Source organism: Homo sapiens, chromosome 5 (genome assembly GCF_000001405.40).
Source record: "Homo sapiens chromosome 5, GRCh38.p14 Primary Assembly".
Taxonomy (NCBI): domain Eukaryota; kingdom Metazoa; phylum Chordata; class Mammalia; order Primates; family Hominidae; genus Homo; species Homo sapiens.
In genome coordinates this window covers 1,914,436-1,933,734 of record NC_000005.10, presented here as the reverse complement: position 1 = coordinate 1,933,734, position 19,299 = coordinate 1,914,436, and the positions used below count along the sequence as shown (strand labels likewise).

The 19,299-nt window shown below is 52.6% G+C and overlaps 1 protein-coding gene and 1 long non-coding RNA gene across 4 annotated transcripts in view, besides 2 other annotated features; both read right to left on the bottom strand.

Moving 5' to 3' along the window:
- The window catches only part of LOC105374618 (uncharacterized), a 188,354-nt gene extending 185,652 nt beyond the window's left edge, over positions 1-2,702 (bottom strand). Inside the window, exon 1 of the long non-coding RNA NR_171679.1 lies at positions 2,346-2,702. This is a non-coding gene — a long non-coding RNA (uncharacterized LOC105374618). The remainder of the gene's footprint in view (positions 1-2,345) is intronic.
- The window catches only part of LOC124901165 (keratin-associated protein 5-5-like), a 31,421-nt gene extending 25,440 nt beyond the window's left edge, over positions 1-5,981 (bottom strand). For all 3 annotated transcript variants that reach the window (XM_047418002.1, XM_047418003.1, XM_047418004.1), the window contains exon 1: positions 2,346-5,981. In XM_047418002.1, the coding sequence (XP_047273958.1) occupies positions 2,970-4,004 (1,035 nt within the window). In that variant the 5' untranslated portion in view covers positions 4,005-5,981 and the 3' untranslated portion in view covers positions 2,346-2,969. The remainder of the gene's footprint in view (positions 1-2,345) is intronic.
- Positions 2,609-3,189: an enhancer, noted in NCBI's record as "H3K27ac-H3K4me1 hESC enhancer chr5:1930660-1931240 (GRCh37/hg19 assembly coordinates)". NCBI's record gives its function as "activates a minimal SCP1, AML or CMV promoter by ChIP-STARR-seq in naive H9 embryonic stem cells {active_cell/tissue: H9 hESC(naive)}" and the evidence as "EXISTENCE:reporter gene assay evidence [ECO:0000049][PMID:30033119]".
- Positions 13,953-14,766: an enhancer, noted in NCBI's record as "H3K4me1 hESC enhancer chr5:1919083-1919896 (GRCh37/hg19 assembly coordinates)". NCBI's record gives its function as "activates a minimal SCP1, AML or CMV promoter by ChIP-STARR-seq in primed H9 embryonic stem cells {active_cell/tissue: H9 hESC(primed)}" and the evidence as "EXISTENCE:reporter gene assay evidence [ECO:0000049][PMID:30033119]".

The window sequence follows — 19,299 nt, the reverse complement described above, 5'->3', positions numbered from 1 at the left end:
AACTTTTTTCTCCACAAGCTGGATACCACCGTAGTAACTCATGATAATTATTAATTCAATTCATAACTTAGTAGGGGAGAGCTTGAGCTCTAATAAGGCTCCAGTCGTCTTAAGGGAGGGATGAAAGATAAAAGGGAAAATCTGAGTCATCCATCCAGGCTGATGTCCTGGGGCCCCACCTGCATGGAAATTGTCCCACAGGGGATGAGGGAGTCATTTGGTATCAGAGAAAAACCTAGCCAGAGCGGCCTTCAGAAGAGGATCAAAGCCCCAAGCAGGTATTTCTGGGAGAGTTCACAGAAAGTGTTCTAGTTTTTTTTGTTATAAGGAAAATTGAGCAAAAGTATTAATGGTACAAAGAATCTACAACCAAGAATTCTCCTGGCCAGAGACTACATGTGAATGAAACTGGGAAATATTCTAGTAGACAGATACAATGGTGGGAATGCCAGTCAATGGAGATGGATTTTATTTGAACCAGGCTAAGAGTGGACCAATCACAAACCAATAAGCACACTATTGGCATAAGTTAAATCCTGGGTCTCCAATTAAAATACATATATTCGTGAGAGAGCCTATTCCTCTCAGTCTCCGAGGAATGATCTTCACTGTGTTCCTTTAGAGACCAATAACCCCTATAAATTGTCTAATTGTAAACTGCGCTGATACCCGCACCATGCACTTCAGAGTTCCCAGATACTGACAACATTCTCAGAGTGTAGTCTTTACGATCATAGGAATCAGTCACTATCATATTAACTCTATCTTTATTTTAGGAGCTTTCTAAAAATTCAGTCTCCACAAATAAGAAGACAAGTTGTCAAATCATGCATTCTACTTGTGAGTTCAGGGCTGATGGCCACCAACTCCAACAGATGGGAGGTGGGGTCACATTCTTTGATGCCCCTCCCATGGAGAAAGCTTTCCAACTACATTTTTTAAACATCTAACAAAAAAGAAGATCTGTAAAAGCAACATTTTAAAAATTGGGAGCATGAGTATTTGAACTTTCTTATCTAAGTCCAACAGTCTTATTTGATGAGGATCCTAGAGCCCAGGTACCACTTCTTCAGTTTACTCTGGAGCCTGCTAGAAGAGCAGAAAAATATTTGTTGGTTTGCTTATTTACATAAAAATTGCCCCCCAAATCGGCAAGTTTTCTATAAAATAGATCTGTGGGGAGTCCTATGATGGCATTATTGTGAGGATACATATGCTTTCCCCTATGAATTTTGATATCGCTCCTAAACACAAGGGAGCAGGTAAGTCATCTAAAATTAGTTATTTTTAGTCTTTTCATGCTAATGGAAGATGTGTAAATTCTACCCAAAATTCTAAACATGATCATTCTGTACATTAAATTATCATGTAACAGAAGAGCACAGTGTACAAAGACAGATTTATTTATTAACTCAAAATTTTGGAACAAAAATGTTTCCTATATGACTTACGCTAGATATGTATTTTTGGAACCCATAAAAATAAAATTATTTTGAAAATAATATTGCAAACTTTGAGTTTCTTTGGCTTCTACTTGCAAGATTTGAAAACTTGAAAATTGTCTTCAGCTTTTGCTCGTCTGAACTGCTGAAGTTCTAAAATCCCAGTTGATTAGAGTTTTTTCTCAGTAAACAATTCTGAGAAACGGAAAGAGCTATTCGCCAGGCAGTTCATGTATTCATTTCATTCAACAACACAACCCAGGAGATTTGAGACATTTTAAAAGGAATTTTCCTGTTTTCTCTCCCCCGCAATTGATTTCCCACAGAAGAGGAACTTGGCCATGTCAGCTGTGGGCTGTGGACAACCCCAGCTGGCAGGAGGGACACCTGGCGAGCACCTGGTTTCCCAGGTCCCTCCACCGCCGGCTGCGCAGCCCAGCACAGGCCACAGGCCGGGGGGTGGGCCCGGGCCCTGCGGAGTGGGCGGGTCTGAGCGGGTTGGAACGTCCCGCCGGCTTCACCGCAGGCCGGCATCTCAGCCTCAGGCCCCACAGCGGGTCTCCCGTCTCCACCCTCGCGGGCTCTGCAGGGCTGGGGCTGCTCCTGAGTTTCTGGTAAGGCCTTCGGGAGTCCCAGCTCTGCGGAGACCAAAGCCCCCACATCCTCGGCAGAGCCCGGGCGAGTGCCCCGCGGGTGGCGGCGGCTGTGGGGCCGTCTGGGATTCTCCGCAGCACTGACCCTGCAACCTCCTGTGTCTGCGCTTCGTGGTGAGGGGCGGCGGGATGCGCGCGATCCCTTTTTGACTCAGCCAAACGGAAAAGCTCGCGCGTCCCGGCTGGAAGGTGGAGGTCAGGCAGGACCCGGCAAAGGCACATTCCAAACGAAGCAGACCCCATTCCTCACCTGCAGAGGGAAGGCGGTGTGGACGGACAGAAACGGCCCTCACAGCCACAGAACCACCGCGGCCACAGCAGCGCGGCGTCCGGCAGGGAGCGGACCGTGGTGGAGGCCTCTGAGCCGAGCAGGCCACGCAGACCCGGGAGGCGCTGAAGCGGGCGCAGCTGCGCCCTGGAGCAGGCAGACCAGGCCACGGCGGAGGGAGAGGCCCGGGGACGCGGCGCAGCCCCTGCGGAGAGGCACGGGGGCGGCGGGGACGCCCTCCCACTGGCTGAAATGCCAGGGACCGGCCTGGGCGTGGAGCAGCCGGGGCGAGCCCGCCTCCAGGCACCGCCGGCTGCCCTAGGCAGGGCCTGCAGGAGTGGCCCGGAGCCGGGCACCGAGGCACCGAGGCGGGGACCTGGAGGGGTAGGGGTCGGGGCAGGGCCTGCCAATCAAGTCTACGGGGGTCGCCGGGTGGTGGAGGTGGGATGGGGGAAGGAGGCTGAGCACCAGCCTCGGGCGATCCAAGATTCCTCCGGCCTAATCCCAGGAGGGAGGCAGCGTTGGCGGGTGAAGCCGTCACCCTCCCCCGGGAGGCCGCCCAGCAGCTGCCCCTCCACGCTCCGGGGCCACTGCGCCGGGCCTTGGTCACCACCTGGGCCCTGGCCCACGCTCAGACGAGGGGCAGCGCGACTTCCCCGTAGCCCCACCCCAGCGGCTGTCGCCGCAGAGCATGAAGAGGCCTGGCTCCTGCAGAAACGCAGCCCAGCGCGAAACCCAAAACCCCAAAACCCCACTCCTCACGGGGCACAGGGCGGACTTCAAGGGCGTCCCCATGTCCCCAGGAGCTCCCAGCCCCGCCCTGCACACCTGCACCTGCACAGCGGGGCCAGCACAGGGGATCCCAACCGCCTGAAGACAGAGAACTGGGACATACACAACACACATGCCACACAGCACACAACACACACAACACGCATGCCACACAGCACACAACACACACAACACGCATGCGACACAGCACACAACACACACAACGCACAACACACATGCCACACAGCACACAGCACAACACACGCACAACACACATGCTGCACACACACACAACACACACACAACACAAATGCCACACAGCACAGACCACACACAACACACACAACATACCACACAGCAACACCACACACACCAATAAACACACACCACACACACAACACATACACAACATACATCCCACACAGCACACACATCACGCACATATGACACAACACACGTCACACACGACACACACAACACACATGCCACACAGCACATACCACACACAACACACATGCCACACAGCACACACATGTCACACACACAACACACATGCCACATACACACCACACAGCACACATCGCACACAACACACACATGCCGCACACACCACACAAATACATATGCCACACAGTGCACAACACACAACACACATGCCACACAGCACACGTCACACACATACACACACACTACACACAACACACATGCCAGACACACAGCCAACACATCACACAACACACATGACACACATGCCAAATGCACACACACTACACATGCCACACACATGCCACACACACCACACACATGCACAACACACATGCCAGAGACCACACATGCCACACAACACACGACACACCACACATGCCACATACACAACACACATGCCACAGAGCACACACCACACACACCACGTCACACACCAAACACATGCCACACACACCACACATGCCACACACCAAATACGTATCACACACAACACACATGACACAAAGCACACACCACACATGTCACACACCACACACAGGCGCACAACACACGCCACACACATCACAACCCCCATGCCACACAACACATATGCTACACAATGTGAATGACACACGCATGCCACATGCACACTCAACATAGATGCCACACACACACCACACATGTCACACACACCACACACAATACACATGCCACACACAGAACACACATACCATGCACACAACACACACAACACACTTGCCCCACACAACACATACACATGCCAGACACACACAACACACACCACACACACAAAACACAACAAACATGCCACATGCAACACACACAACACACGTCACACACAACATGCACACAACACATGCCACACATGCACACCACACACAACACACATGCTGCACACACAACACACATGCCACACAGGCACACAACACAGAACATACATGCCACACATACACACACCACACATACAACACACATGCCACACACACCATACACAACGCACAAAACACAACACATATGACACACATGACACACATACACACACCACACTCACACTCATACTCACAAGGACAGATAGTAATCCTGAAACATTCTCTTCTAAGCCCATAAGGAAGAACTCAGATGGCAGCTGCCTCTTCCTCTTCAGAGTCAGGTTGAGAAACACTAAACTTATAGCCTAAAACCCAGGTTTTGGGCTCCACAGGCAGAGAGGCAAATACAGTCAATCACCAAGATCTCCAACACGAAAAGGCCCAGTGCTCCAGGAAGGACGTGCTTCCAGTCTCTAGAAGGTACTGAGTGATAGCAATGCACCCAAGTCACGACAGTTTTAAAGTTCTTCCATGTGCGGCCGCTCATCTACTGATGAAATTAAACCCGTCACAACTTACGTGGATATTTAGTATGTTTCACCAGAGACAAGATAATTTTTTATTTAACAAGTTATGTCAATACACATTACAACATGTGTGCACATATGTATGTATATATGACATACACACACATGCATAGTATGTATTTACATAGTTTGGTACGTATTAATATCTGTATCATATCTGTGTATCTCCCTAGGCCTAAAGCAATGCTTCTCAAAGTATTCTCTGCACCAGAAAATGTCAGATATTTCATAATCACAATAGCATATCATTATACATAAAAAATGTGAATAGATGATTAACGTTTATTTATTAGATTATTATTGTTTCATCTTATTTTTTTCCAAAACCTCTGGCAGTTACTTGTCTGTAATATGAACCTGTAAAGGGAAATTATAAAAATCTCAGGACCCCCAAACTTCTTATGCAAAAGGGAAGGTCACTGCAGCCCCTTCTTCCAAATGAATTACTGTTACTAACTTCCTGCTCCAGCCAGATCCCCGTGGAAAGGTAAAGGCCTCCGGTTTCTGGGGAGGGCTGCCCCACAGATCAATCACGAGTAAATTCTCTGCTGTCCTCCCATAAACAGGGCATTCGGTGCTGACTACAGGTCTACAGTCTAAGTCCAGCGCCTGAAGCTGAGGTGTGTGGATTCCACACTGATCGTGTCCCCTACACGCTCATCTTCCGTGTACAGAACGGAGACTCCTTCCTCCACCTACCCAGAGACGCCTGTGTAACTGACTCTTCCTTTACTCCCTTTCCCTCGCCGGTCATTCGCCTTACCTTATGGAAAGTGTAAATTAGGCACTGAGGAACGTCTCACAGGAATGCAGCCTTCAGCCTTCCTGCCTGCTGGCCCCTCTTCCTACCTGCCCCCGGCCCCGCTTAAGGAAATGCGCCAACAGGAAGCCTCCTGAAAAGCTCTTTGGAGAAACAGCCGCAGCTGTGTCTGTGGCTGGTGTTTTTCCCAGGTGAACCCTAAAGCTGGCTTGAAAAACCTAAATGAGCCGAGTGCAGTGGCTCACGCCTGTAATCCCAGCACTTTGGGAGGCCGAGGTGGGTGGATCACCTCAGGTCAGGAGTTCAAGACCAGCCTGGCTAACATGGCGAAAGTCCATCTCTACTAAATATACAAAAATTAGCCGGGTGTGGTGGTGCATGTCTATAGTCCCAGCTACTCAGGAGGCTGAGACAGGAGAATCGCTTGAGCCCGGGAGGCAGAGGTTGCAGTGAGCCAAGATCATGCCACTGCCCTCCAACCTGGGTGACAAGAGGGAGACTCCATTCTTCCAAGAGGGAGAATTTTAATTCATGTTGTTTTAGAGTCCATTTATGCCATCACAATTGATGTTTTACATTTATTTATTTTCTTTTCTCCTATTTTGCTTTCCATTAAATAGAAAAAAGAAAAACCTCCATGATCGAGACTTAAGCCTCAGTTGCTCATTTCACTCGTCAAACCCATAGTCGCATCTTCTGATTTATGACAAACTTATGTCCTAGGGACCAGGGGCTCCTGCAGATGCAGCATCTCAAGGAACCTGGCCAATGCGGATGTGGTGTTTGTAGAGGCGCAGGTTCCATTCCAACACACGCTCAAGCCCTGCTGTGCAACGTGAGCTCTCCCGGCGGCACACTGGCTATCCCGGCCCTTGACTCGTCTCTGCTGTCCTTCCTCTTCTCAACATGTGTCTCCCAAAAGGATGAAAACACTGCTTCTTTTTGAGAGCTCTCATGTGAGACGGAAAGTGCTATTGAAAGGGGGACGGATCCGTGACCTGCATGACCAGCGTTCACCCAGCACAGGACATCACCCAGTGCATCGCTGCGAGCGGTGGCGTGGAGGGGCCCATGCTCCTCTGGGAGAACTGGGGGAGAACCGGGACCCCCGGAGGCAGCCAGAGCTCGGACCCCTGGCCATGGGGGAGGAGGGAAGGAGGGCCACACCCAGAACGCCCTGAGGCTGCAAGAGAGGCAGGCCTGGGGCATTGAACCAGGGGCTGCAGTGAAGAAAGGGGAGAAGTCTGAGATCCAAAATGCAAAAACCACAGGGAAGCAGCGGGCAGGTGCTGGGGCCGGGGCTGGGGCAGGCGCAGGGGCAGGGGCAGGTGCAGGGGCTGGGCAGGCGCAGGGGCAAGTGCAGGGACAGGCTCAGGGGCGGGGCAGGGGCAGGTGCAGGGGCTGGGCAGGCGCAGGGGCAAGTGCAGGGACAGGCTCAGGGGCGGGGCAGGGGCAGGTGCAGGGGCTGGGACAAGAGCAGGGGAAGGGGCAGGCGTAGGGGTTGGGGCAGGGGCTAGGGCAGGGGCAGGTGCAGAGACGGGGACAGGAGCAGGGGAAGGGGAAGGCGCAGGGGTTGGGGCAGGGGCTGGGGCAGGGGCAGGTGCAGGGGCTGGGACAGGAGCAAGGGAAGGGGCAAGAGCAGGGGAAGGGGCAGGCACAGGGGCTGGGGCTGTGGCAGGGGCAGGGGCTGTGGCATTGGCAGGGGCTGGGGCAGGCGCACGGGCTGGGGCAGGCACAGGTGCAGGCTGCCTCACCATGCACAGCTCAGGGACAGAAGAGAAGCTGGGGGTTAGCAGGGCTGGAGGGCAGGGCTGGCTGCAGGTGGTTGAGAGTGGGTGGGTTTAGCAGGCTGTCAGCGCCAAGGCCTCTGGGTCCCTGGTGTCCAGGGCTGCTCAGTCCCTAGGCCCTAAGGGCAACAAATGCACCTTAGAAATTACTCACTTGCTGGGGAAGGGGACCAGGCCATGCAGCCACAGACCCCAACTTACGAGTCACCAGAAGGCACAGAGCTCCAGGGGGACCCAATGCACAAGTCACTGAGAGGCCGGAGCCTCAGGGAGACCCTGGGTCAGCGTTGCTTAGTGTCTTGTGATTCCACACAGAGATGACCCCGCACTCTGTAGAGAGGATCCTGACTTCCAGGGACTCTGCTCGTTGAAGTCTTAGGCCCCCTGACCTGGAAAACCACCCCCAGGTCTTGGGAACAACAGGAGAGGAGGAGCCCCCTGTGCTGTGCGACTTTGGAAGCAACCCCAGGGTCCATCCGTCAGCCTCTCTAACATTCAGCCCACCAGGAGCTCTGGGCGTCTCACGACGGGGTTAGGGGGACTGGAGAGACAACTCCCACTGTCCAAAAGATGGCAACTCAGAGCCCCCAAGGAGCAGGGTCTCTGCCTTCTGAGAGGCGCCACCCCCCAATGGTGCAATGTGTTCCCTCCTGATCCCAGAATGCCACTGAGGCCATGGAAGGAGCTGCGTGAATACTCCGTCAGTGTGACTAAGTTGCACGCACAAAGTCCCTAGAAATGCGGTGGCCGCAGTCCCAGCAAGGCCATTCTGGGAAGCCCCGGAGGAGCCTAACGCTGGAATTTTAGGGCCGGGCTGCACAGGACACTCCTCTGAGACCACCTGGAAATCACAGCTGGAGCATGGTGGGACCCGACCCCGGGGGTCAGAGCCCCCGCCTCCCGCAGTGGAAGGCAAGATCCGATCACACCGTGGTGCACACTCCTGATAAAGGAAAGCCATTACAGGGTGCTGGATTTGGGACTGGATATTCCTGGGTTGCAGAAAGGACCCTTCCTCTCTCCTCATCTGAACCTCCAGCTTCCCAACCCCAGGGGTCTTTGTAAATTCCCTTGTGGGGGCATCATTTGTTGAACTGGTCTAACCAATAATTTGGTTCTTGGATTAGTTTCCCCAGCTCAAGAACCTGATGCCACCAAGCTGCTCTTCAATTATTTATCAGTCTGGACGGGAAAGGAAAAACAGTGAAGCCCACTTAGAGGAAAACCATCCATGACGGACGTTCGCAGGCAGCAGCCGTCTCACCGTAACCGTGGTATCTGTCGGCAGCCCCCCATCAAACCCAGAGCATTCGCAGCCACATTTACAACAGTTAACTGTGGTGTCACAGTTGCATTCACTAGATAATAGTAAAACTCTTTTTCAAAACACTCTATATTTAAGTAAACCATTTACTTTGATGATGACGTTGTCCTCCTCAACCACGAATTTCAAAAAGGCTGATTAGCCGTAATGTAAAACGTCAGGATGTGGCATGGTTTTTAGAAAGATGAGAGGAGTTTGGGTGTTTGGAGGTGCCTGCTCTTCTCAAGCTTTCCTTGGCTTATTCTCCCGGGTGGGCCACAGCTTCACTGGTGAGGAGGCCACACCACGGGCATTTGGCTAAATACTGGGCCGTTCTGGCCCAAACGCCCCTCCAGATGGAAGGGATATGACTAATTAGTAAGAAAAATGCTTACCTGCTGGAAATTAAATCCTTCTTATATTATATTAACAGAGTTTACAGTTGAGGAAAGTTAATGCCGTGAAGATACCCTAAAAGGCTTTGCAGTCCCCCAAGAAGGCACTGGGCTCCTGGTCTGGGAGTGCGGTTCCCCTTCCTCTGCTATTTCAAGGGAGCAGATCAGGTAGTTTTAGAAACTGGGAACTGTATGTGTAAATGCCATCCTTTCTTTCGAGCCAAAGGACCTTGAATGCAGGCAGCTCTTTTCCCTAAATCTGGACATCTACACCATGAAATCCCGAGTTCTGAATACTCAAGCCCATAGGGTCTCATCAGGGTCGGTCTACACTGACAACCCCAGGCTTCCAGGACACCCATGTGTCCCAGGCTGCAGGGCGAGCCCTGAGGCTTCAGGCAAATCCGCTGTGCCGAGCGGAGCAGACAGAGCGTGTCAGAGGAAAGCGATCGTTGGCTGAGGGTCCTTAATTTCGCCTGAGACCCACCGGTATGCACAGCTGAGGTCTCCCGTGCCTCACTCTGGCTTCCGGAAAAACCTGGGTGCGCAGTTCCACTCACTTGGCAGCCACACCTTTGCTCAGAAGCAGGAAGGGTCCCAGTCCGAGCAGAGACCTGAGCTGTGGGGATGCCTGGGGACCCAGGGAGTGGGGGCTTGGTGTTGAGCCGAGGTGACGAGGCCCCTTCCCCCTGGCCTCCCTGCCCCAGAGCGGCACTTGCAACAAAAACCTACCTGCAAGGACAGGGTCTTTGTCATAAAATCCAGGGAAGGAAAGAGGGAGGGAGGGAAGAAATTTGTGTCTTGTAAACCTCAATGCAAATCCAGAAGTGACAGAGCAACTCAAAAGTTCAGGAAGAAACTCCGATGACGCCTTCTTCGTGCACAGCACGCCGGAGAGCAGGCTGTGGGCTGGGACAGCAGACAGGCACTAGGCGTCTCCATACGTACGTTACTGGGGACGGGCTTTCAGTCACACAGTGTGTTTAAGTTTATAGAAATGCGCGAAAACCAAACCAACAAGCAAAGCATCAAGCCCAAGACGGCACGTTCAGTATGAATGCATTTTCGCTAAAATAATTTAGATATAAAGATGGAAACGCCTGGACAAGTAGATGCCAAAATGTAGCCCTGATCATCTCTGGAGATGGGCTGAGGTGATTTTCTTTACTATTTATATTAATATTGTTGCTGTTATTTACTTCTCTGTACCGTTGACATCTCTTGCAAAGATAAAGAGGTCACAGGTCACTCAGTCCTGCAGGGAAACACCTCCGTGACCCCAACATCCAGAGAGGGCCTGGGGGACGCATGGGCAGAGCTGGCAGAGGACTGCAATTCAGGTCATTCTCATTTATTACAGTTATGATTTAATTTATGCCAAGTTTTTGCGTAGGCCAAAGGAAAAGGCCCCCCACTCCGGTCTCTGTGGAGAAGAGACAAAGAAGCCATGGGAAGGGGAGGAGGCGGCTGTTTTCTCAGAGGCTCTAGCAGCAGGCATGGCCGCCCTGGCAGGAGCCCCGATCAGGCGTGGACGCCGCATTCACTGGAGACCCTGCTCCACCGAGTGGAAGGAGAAGGCGCCTCGTGATGCCTGGTTGCCCAGACCCCATCCAGTCATTTGCTAAATTCCCACTGGCTCCGAAGAGAAAAGTCTGGAAGTGCAGTGGCTGGAAACCGGAGCCCACAGTAATGGCCCCGTGGTCTGCTGAGGTTTTGCCGATGGTTTCCAGAATGGGAGGAGGGGTCCCTGAGCAGCAGCGGTGAGTCCCTCAGAGGGCCGTGGCCGGGCACTCGCTCAGACGGAAGTAACAGGGGTTTTCTCACCTGGCGCTGAGGATCCAGGTATGCTAATGGAAGGACACGTGAGCCCAAAGTCCCTCTAGGTCAGAAACTTCCTAAGCAACTTTTATTCTTCCAAACTCTGGTCTTCAAAACTACAGGTGTAAATCTAAGCACATTTTCCAATGGATTATTTTCTTTTTTTTTTTCAGACATAGTCTCAGTCTGTCGCTCCAGCTGCAGAGCAGTGGCACGATCTCGGTTCACCGCAACCTCTGCCTCCCGGGCTCAAGTGATTCTCCTGCCTCTGCCTCCCGAGGAGCTGGGATTACAGGCTCGCACCTCCACGTCCAGCTGATTTTTTGTATTTTTAGTAGAGACGGGGTTTCACCATGTTGGCAAGGCTGGTCTTGAACTCCTGACCTCGTGATCCACCCGCCTTGGCCTCTCAAAGTGCTGGGATTACAGGCATGAGCCACCGCGTCTGGCCTTCCAGTGGCCTTCATTCCAACATTGGGGGCTGATCACAGGTGAGGACCAACTCTGGATAATTTAAGTCAGCTACGTCAACCCACCAAACTTCCATGAAAAAATACTCAAAAGACACAAGGAGGAACAGGAGGCTCTGAAGCCTCCTCGGCCAGCGTTGGCTCTTCTTTGTTAATGTTGAGACTTCCTGAAGTGAAGGTGCACACTCCTCAGCACTCTTCCGGGTGGGAAAGCCGAGGAAAAGGCGGCCACACGCAGACCGGCACACAAGTGCGCGTCACAGCGTTATTCATGACAGACAGAACGGGAAGCCAACTGAACGTCCATCAACTGGGGGATGAGTAAACAACATTTAGCCCGTCCGCCCCGTGGAACACCGCCCCGCAGTAAAAAGGAAGCAACTCTGATTCAGGCCGTGTGTGGATGAGCCTCAAAACATGATGCTAAGTGAGAACAGTCAGGTCCGTGAGAGGCCATACTGAATGACTCCAGCTATGTACAATCTCTAGAAAGGGAAAAGTTATAGAGGCAGAAAACCACAGCGGCAGATCAGCGGCTGCCTGGAGCTAGGGGCGTGGAGCGCGGATTGGGAGGGGAACAGGAGAGGTTTTTCAGGGGAGCAAAATCGAGTGTTTTAAAACTGGATTGTGATAAATTGATTAAAACCCATCAAACAGATCTCTGAAAACTGTGTGGCATATGAATTATACCTCAAGGAGACTTAAAACTATACTGAGGGACGATTGACAAACAGGACTTCTGTATCTCACCAAACTTTCCATCAAGCTTGAAAAAGTTATTTTCAGACAGCCAAGATTTAAAAACAAACAAACAAAAAATGGCATCCATACCCCGTTTCGTAGGCAGCTACTGAGAGACATGCTTTAGCAAAACATAGAAGAAAGAGATGGTAGGCCGGGCTTGTTGGCTCACACCTGTAATCCCAGCACTTTAGGAGGCCGAGGCAGGCAGATTGCCTGAGCTCGGGAGTTCTGCAACCAGACTGGCCAATATGGTGAAACCCCGTCTCTACTGAAAATACAAAAAATTAGCCAGGCATGGCGGCGTGTGCCTGTAATCCCAGCTACTTGGGAGGCTGAGGCAGAAGAATTGCTTGAACCCGGGGGGCGGAGGTTGCAGTGAGCTGAGATGGCGCCACTGCACTCCAGCCTGGCAACAGAGCAAGACTCCATCTCAAAAAAAAAAAAAAAAAGATAGTAAATAATGAAACAAGATACTAAATCAAGCCTGACAGGAGAGCCAGCACAGAGTGGAAACTCCCACAGTGGGAACTCCAGGGACCCACCAAGGCAGCGCTGCCAGAAGAAGGGGGCGGTGTTCCTGGTGGTTAGGAAGCTATCAGATAATTTAATATGTGTGGACACTTAGAATCGTTATTGCATCAGTAATTATGTGGACAGATAATAAAAAAGGAAAACAATCATGCAAATATTAATTCCAGGAAAAATGAAAAGCTATATAACAGAAGACAAAGAATCACAGTGCATAACTGAGCTTAGCAGTAAATAAATGTTATTTAGCCAAAACTAGTGATAGACGTATGAGGAAACAGGGAGAGTCGTGCTAGAAAAAAGATGTCGAGTGTAAGAGACTTAAACTTCAACTACCACAGGAAGAAGTCCATAGATACGGTCTAAAAACAAGACATCAATAAGTAGTAGGGTATTATATTATTGGAAATATAGAGACAAGTCGCTGAAGAAATAAGTAACAGAAAACAGTGGTGCTGGGGAGCAAGACTCGAGGGCATGTGGCTGGGATGAGGGGCTGGATTGGATTTTGTTATGAACCTTTTAGTAGTGTCTGACTTTTTAACTATGCTCAGATTATTTTTTCAAATAAAACTATTTTGAAAAACAATGGCCTCAAGCAAAATAAGTAATTACAATCAACTTTCTCTATCATTTCAAAAGAAAAAGGACATTTTAATGTCAAAAACACTTGGAAAAACAAAAATTAATGTGAAGAAACACCAACTCATTTTTTCTTACTTGCCTCATTCTGCTGCAGATCAATGAGCACTTCCTCAGGGACTGGTGGCCACGCCCAATCAGTGCCATCCTCAAGAAAATGGTCAAGTAGAGGGAAGAAGTCACTCCGGGGTGAGGCTTTCAACAAGGGCCTTTTTTGTCTTCCTCCCACTTTTCCCACCTCTTGCCTGGAATGCAGAGGTGGTGGCTGCAGCCTCAGCAGCCACACCAGGACTGTGAAGCACACTTAGGAAAGACGCTGGATGAGGCGGGGTGGAAGGATGGGAGGAGCCCCAACACCGGAGGAGTCTGCAGCTCCCATGTAGCCCTGGGCTGTCCACCTCCAGCTTCCTTTGGCATGGGAGAAGCTGTGTGCAGTTTTATTTAAGCTGCCGTCATTTCCAGTGTCTTTTACCAGCAGCCACACTCTCATCTTTGTGGATGTGGCTTTGTGGACCATCTGTTCTACTTTTCTTCTTGCCTAGTGGCAGTCCAAGCTTTCCCTCTGAAATCTCCAAACAGGAGTCCATTTCTTCACCAAAATCTGTGTACATCCTCAGAAGCCAGGCAAGGAGCTAAGGCCTGGAATTCATCACTCTCTAAAGTGGCACTTTCCTATTTCAGCACACCCTCATTAAGAAGCCTTTTTGAATATTGACCAGTGAACCGCATTTTCACCGATTCCCACCCACCCACTGCCCTAACTCTGTCCTTCAGCCAAAGGTGCTGAGTCACCACGCTCTTTCCCAGAGCAGCACTGGATACGGGGCTAAGCAACACCCGCAGCACTCCCAGCTTGACAAGTCAGGTGTGAGTGGTGCTGGGATGCTCCAGAGGGTGTTCTGTAGGCAAAACCAGACCTGAAGACCCTCCGGCTGCAACTCTGTTCCAGCAGAGCCGTGCCCCTCTCTGCTGAAATGGCAGCTCCCAGGGCACCTGCTCTGAGAGGTCGGGCACCATGGTCGTGTTGAACCATGGCCCCCAATAAATGCATCCACATCTTAGCAGAAGTGCTTTAGTTGAGGATGTGAAAGGGGGAACGTATCCTGGATGAGCTGCGTGGGCCCTAAACCCAGTGACAAGTGTCCTTAGGAGAGTGAGGCAGAGGTGGACAGACACAGGAAAGGGAGGAGACCACGTGAGGGCAGAGGCAGAGACAGGCCATGCAGCCACATGCAGGCACACGGAGGGATGCCTGGGCCACCAGAACCTGGGAGGGGCAGGAAGGAGTCTCCCCTGGAGCCTTCGGGGATCGAGGCCAGCGACACCTTGATTTCAGACTTGCAGACTGCAGCACCCTGGGAAGGCGATCCTGCTGTTTAAGCCCCTGGTCTGTGGTACCTGTTACATGGACACAGGGCACATGTGCACCTCCTCACATCCCCCCAGCCCCATGCACGTTTAGGGATGCTTCTGTGCTGCTGGGCCCCAGGAACCCCCGCGCTGACCCGGCTGCCTCCCTGCACTCAATCTGGGAGTTGCAGTTTTGCCCCAGGTCTGCACCCCAGTCCCCCAGAGGCGTGCAGTGGGACAAACAGCCCTCCATGGGGGGTCCTCCCTCTGGGGATCAGGGACAGACTCCCCAGTGCCAGGGGCTGCTGCTTAGGACCACACACTGTCCCCAGACACCCTCCCTCCCCGGCGCTCCCAGCATAGCACTCAGGATTCTCAGCCAGAGAGAGCCCTCGGGGCTCTGTGTCCGGGGCCCACCGTCCTTTGATCCCCTCGTGGCCGGGCATTCACATGAGCAGCCGTAGAAACTTTGGGTTCCCCACAAATGGCCTGCTCTACCCACTTGGCACCACATAGATGGCTTATAAGCCTCTATTTCCATGATTCATTATTTTTCTCATGAAAAGTTATCAGTTCTAAAGAGTCCACCTTGCAGGGATGAGGGTCTGCCTGGCAGGATGCCATCTGTACCTGACCCCGGACACACCGCAGAGACAGCCTTGAGAAGCCAGCACACCCAGGATGAGCCGAGGGCCCTGAGGAACGTGCACTCAGATGCACTGGGAAAGCACAGAGGTAAGGATTACAGAAAAGATGGAAGTCGCTCCTAACAGCTGTGTTTGTCCAGTTTAACTGACTTAAATTTCAATTATTTTAGTTAAGACAATGTTGCCTTTTCAAAGATTAGATGAATCTGATCTTTGTTTTTGCACTTCCTGTCTTTGCAAATAAAGTTTCATTGGCACAGAGCCATGCTGACGTGTCACCTTTGGCTGTTTTTACGCTACAACGGCAGAGGTGAGTAGTTTAGACAGAGACCATATGGCTCTCTAGGACAAAAGTGTTGACTACCTGGCCCTTTATAGAGAAAGTTTGCTTACCCTTACGACAGACTAACGAGAGGAGAACAGTGGTACAGGCGCAGTGCAGCCACAGCTCGGAACACCTGGCAGTGGCATCCTAGTAAATAGGGTTACATCATAGTTATTAAATAAGCCTGGAAAGGGGGGAGACACGGCCAAAGGTCTTGTCTGTGGCTCTCTCTGAATGGTGGGATTACAAAGAGCTTTTAATTTTTTCTTGAATTTTTTTCTGTAGTTTCCAAACTTTGTACAATGAGCATTGTTATTTATTTATTTATTTATTTATTTATTTATTTATTTATTTATTTGAGATAGAGTTTTGCTCTGTCACCCAGGATGGAGTGCAGTGCTGTAATCTCGGCTCACTGCAACCTCCGCCTCCCGGGTTCAAGCGATTCTCATGCCTCAGCCTCCCAAGTAGTTGGGATTACAGGTGCACACCACCACACCCAGCTAATTTTTGTATTTTTAATAGAGACGGGGTTTCACCATGTTGGCCAGACTGGGCTCGAACTCCTGACCTGAGGTGATCCACCTGCCTCGGCCTCCCGAAGTGCTGGGTTTACAGGCGTGAGCCACCGCACCCAGCCTGTAATTTTATTTTAAACAATTTTTATAACAGTTGCCATCACCTAGAACTGCCCCGTGCGGCCGTATTGTCCTTAGGAGGCAGAAGCTTTCCTTGAGGGCATCAGGTAAGGAGACCAAGGGAGAGTGGAGGTGGATGAGAAGCTGTAGGAGGCACCCTACAGAGCGGGCAGCTGGGAGGAGACAGAGGGCAGGGGAGAGCGAGGAGTGAGCAGGGAGAGGAAGAAGGGAAGGGTGGAAAGGGAAAGAGAGGGAAGAAGAGACGGGGAGAGAGACAAGGGGGAGGCACAGGGGGCGACAGGAGGGAGAGCGAGAAGCAGCCCAGGGCGGCTGCGTCTGTGAGTCTCCAAGACGAACAGTCACAAGAGCTGGTGTCCACCCGGTTCTCAGGTACCAAGTGCAGCCCATGTCCCTCCCTCTCCAGGGCACTAGCGGCTGAGGAAGTGGAGGCACGGCATGGAGGAACTTGCTGGGGCACTACACCAGGAGAGGCCAGCTGGGGTCTGAACACAAGGCCTGAGAGGGGCAGCCGCCAGGTTTACCGCCTGGCATTGCCCGGTGGCAGGCAGTGGGGATAGAGCAGAGCTGAGGGACGGAGGTCCCAGGACACCTCTGGCTTCGTGAGGCCACATTTCACGGAGAATCCGCCCCTTCTGTCTCTGGCCTGTGTCATGACGGCATCGCCCATCTGGACCAGTGGACAGGCATCCACATTGTAATCCCTGGGCCTGGCCTCGGGACAACATTCCATGAACCCTGTTTCAAAAGTGTCACCTCCAAGAGGCCTCCGAGGAGGGACAGCAGAGGGGCATGGCCACGTGGGATCCGTTCGCGAGTCCAGCTGTGGAGACGTGGGGCTGAAGGAGGTGCCCACGGCAGGGATGCCCCTCTTTCCTGGGAGCCATCACTGCTCCCCCTGGGCTCCCACTCCATGGCTAGTTCTGAAACGCCCCTGCAGGGGAAGCTGCCCCCTCCTGTGTGTCGGGGACCACCCCAGCCTCATCAGCCGGCTCATTCCAGCCCATGCTGCCTGGTGGCCCCACATGGTACGGAGCCTCCTTCTGGTTCCCGGAGCAGGGAGGGCTGTGGGCATGGGCTCACTTGCTTCCTCTTTGGAACCCCCCCACCCCAGAACCCCACACCTGGAGAGCCCTGGCCCAGCCCCTGGGACGTCCCGCCAGTCCCTCCTCTCAGCAGGGTACAGGTGGTTAGGGCACAAGCACAGGTACCCCACAGGTTGTCTGTGCACGCCGTAGGTGTGGGTGGGCGACAGCTTTGCTTGTCCCCAGTGAGCAGACCCGGTGGTCTTGCAACCTGAGAGCTGCAAGGCACCCTCCATGTCCTCAGGGCCTGATGGAGATGGGAAGGGCCAGGCCACGTGAAGGCCATCGTGCCCTCAGTATCTTGGCACTCTGGAGGGCCAGGATGTCACCCTTCAGAGACCATCTTGGGGGAAGTTCTGGGCCAAGTCTTGGGGCACCTCCCTCCCGGGGCAGCTCTGAGGCTTCTGTGGACCCCGCCCCCCACCCCACTCTGCCCCCACTGAATGAATCAAGGGCGGAGACCGAAGCTCTTACTCCGAGGCAACTCAGCTTTACATCTGGGGCTCCGGAGCCATCACGCTCCTTGCTGAGGACTTTGTGCGGTGGGGAAGCTCCATGCAGTGAGGACCCTCGAAACCTTCCAGCCTAAAGAGCCCGAGCTAGAAGAGGCCTCAGCACATGGGGGCAGGAGGGCTGCTCCCCAGACGCAGGGCGGCCCCCATGCAGCTCCTGCTCCTGTGTGGCCTGTCCCACCCATCCCCTGCTGTCCTGACTACTTGGGGGCAGCAGTGGGAGTGGGGGTGGATTCTGTCAGGCATTCAGCCTGCAGGGGCCAGGGAGGGTGGACCAAAGGCTTCACACACCACATGTCAGAATAGAGGTTCCAGGCACAGCAGAGCGTGGCCACAACTCTACTTCCAGGCCAGCTCTGGAAATAGAAGAACATATGGCAGGATTGCAGGACCTCTGGGGGTGAGGAGAATGATGGGGGACCCAGAGGTGGGGGTGAGAGTGATGCGGGGACCCGGGGGGAGGTGAGAGTGATGTGGGGACCCAGAATAGGGAAACCCCTATTCTGACATGTGGTGTGTGAAGCCTCTGGTCCACCCCTCCCCAGTGAGAGCAATGCGGGGACTCAGGGGGAGGTGAGGGTGATGCGGGGACCCCAGGGGGAGGTGACAGTGATGTAGGGACATCAGGCAGAAAATTCAGTGACTCGCACTATGGGCCACTCAGCCATAAATGTGTGCCACAGAGTCCAACAGGGACACAGCCACAGAGATCCATGGAAAGAAATGCTGGCATCTTGCTCTGTGGCTATACCTGCCCATCCCTGACTTCTAAAGGTTTTGGGAGGATTCACTTGTTTGGAGATTTGAGGCCTGCTTCACTCACCTATTGCTGTGTCCTCTCCACTTCCACTGAGTGTCCTCTCCTCAGGCCCATTGGGCTTCCTCACAGCATGGTGGTGTCGGGAACCCAAACAAGGTCTGTGACATTGTCTGCATTGGTTACTGTGTCCCTTGACCCAAGTTCCTGCCCACTTGTGCTAAGGAGACATCTCAGTGAGGGTCCGTAGGCCAGCCTGGCCCCCCACCTTCCGCAGCAGCCTCCTGGCCCAACCAGCGATCAGACGTTACCAGACAAGACAGCATTTCCAAGGCCCCAGCCAAGCCTCAGCAGGAAGTGGCGCCAGAGAAGGGAAACCTGGTATCTGCAAATTGGAAGCGGGTGGTCCCACGGCCACAGGAATCTCTTTGGGGCAGAGTAGCACATCTCTATTTCCCACAGATTGTTTTTTCTTGATTAAAAGCTGATTTTCTGCTGTGTTCT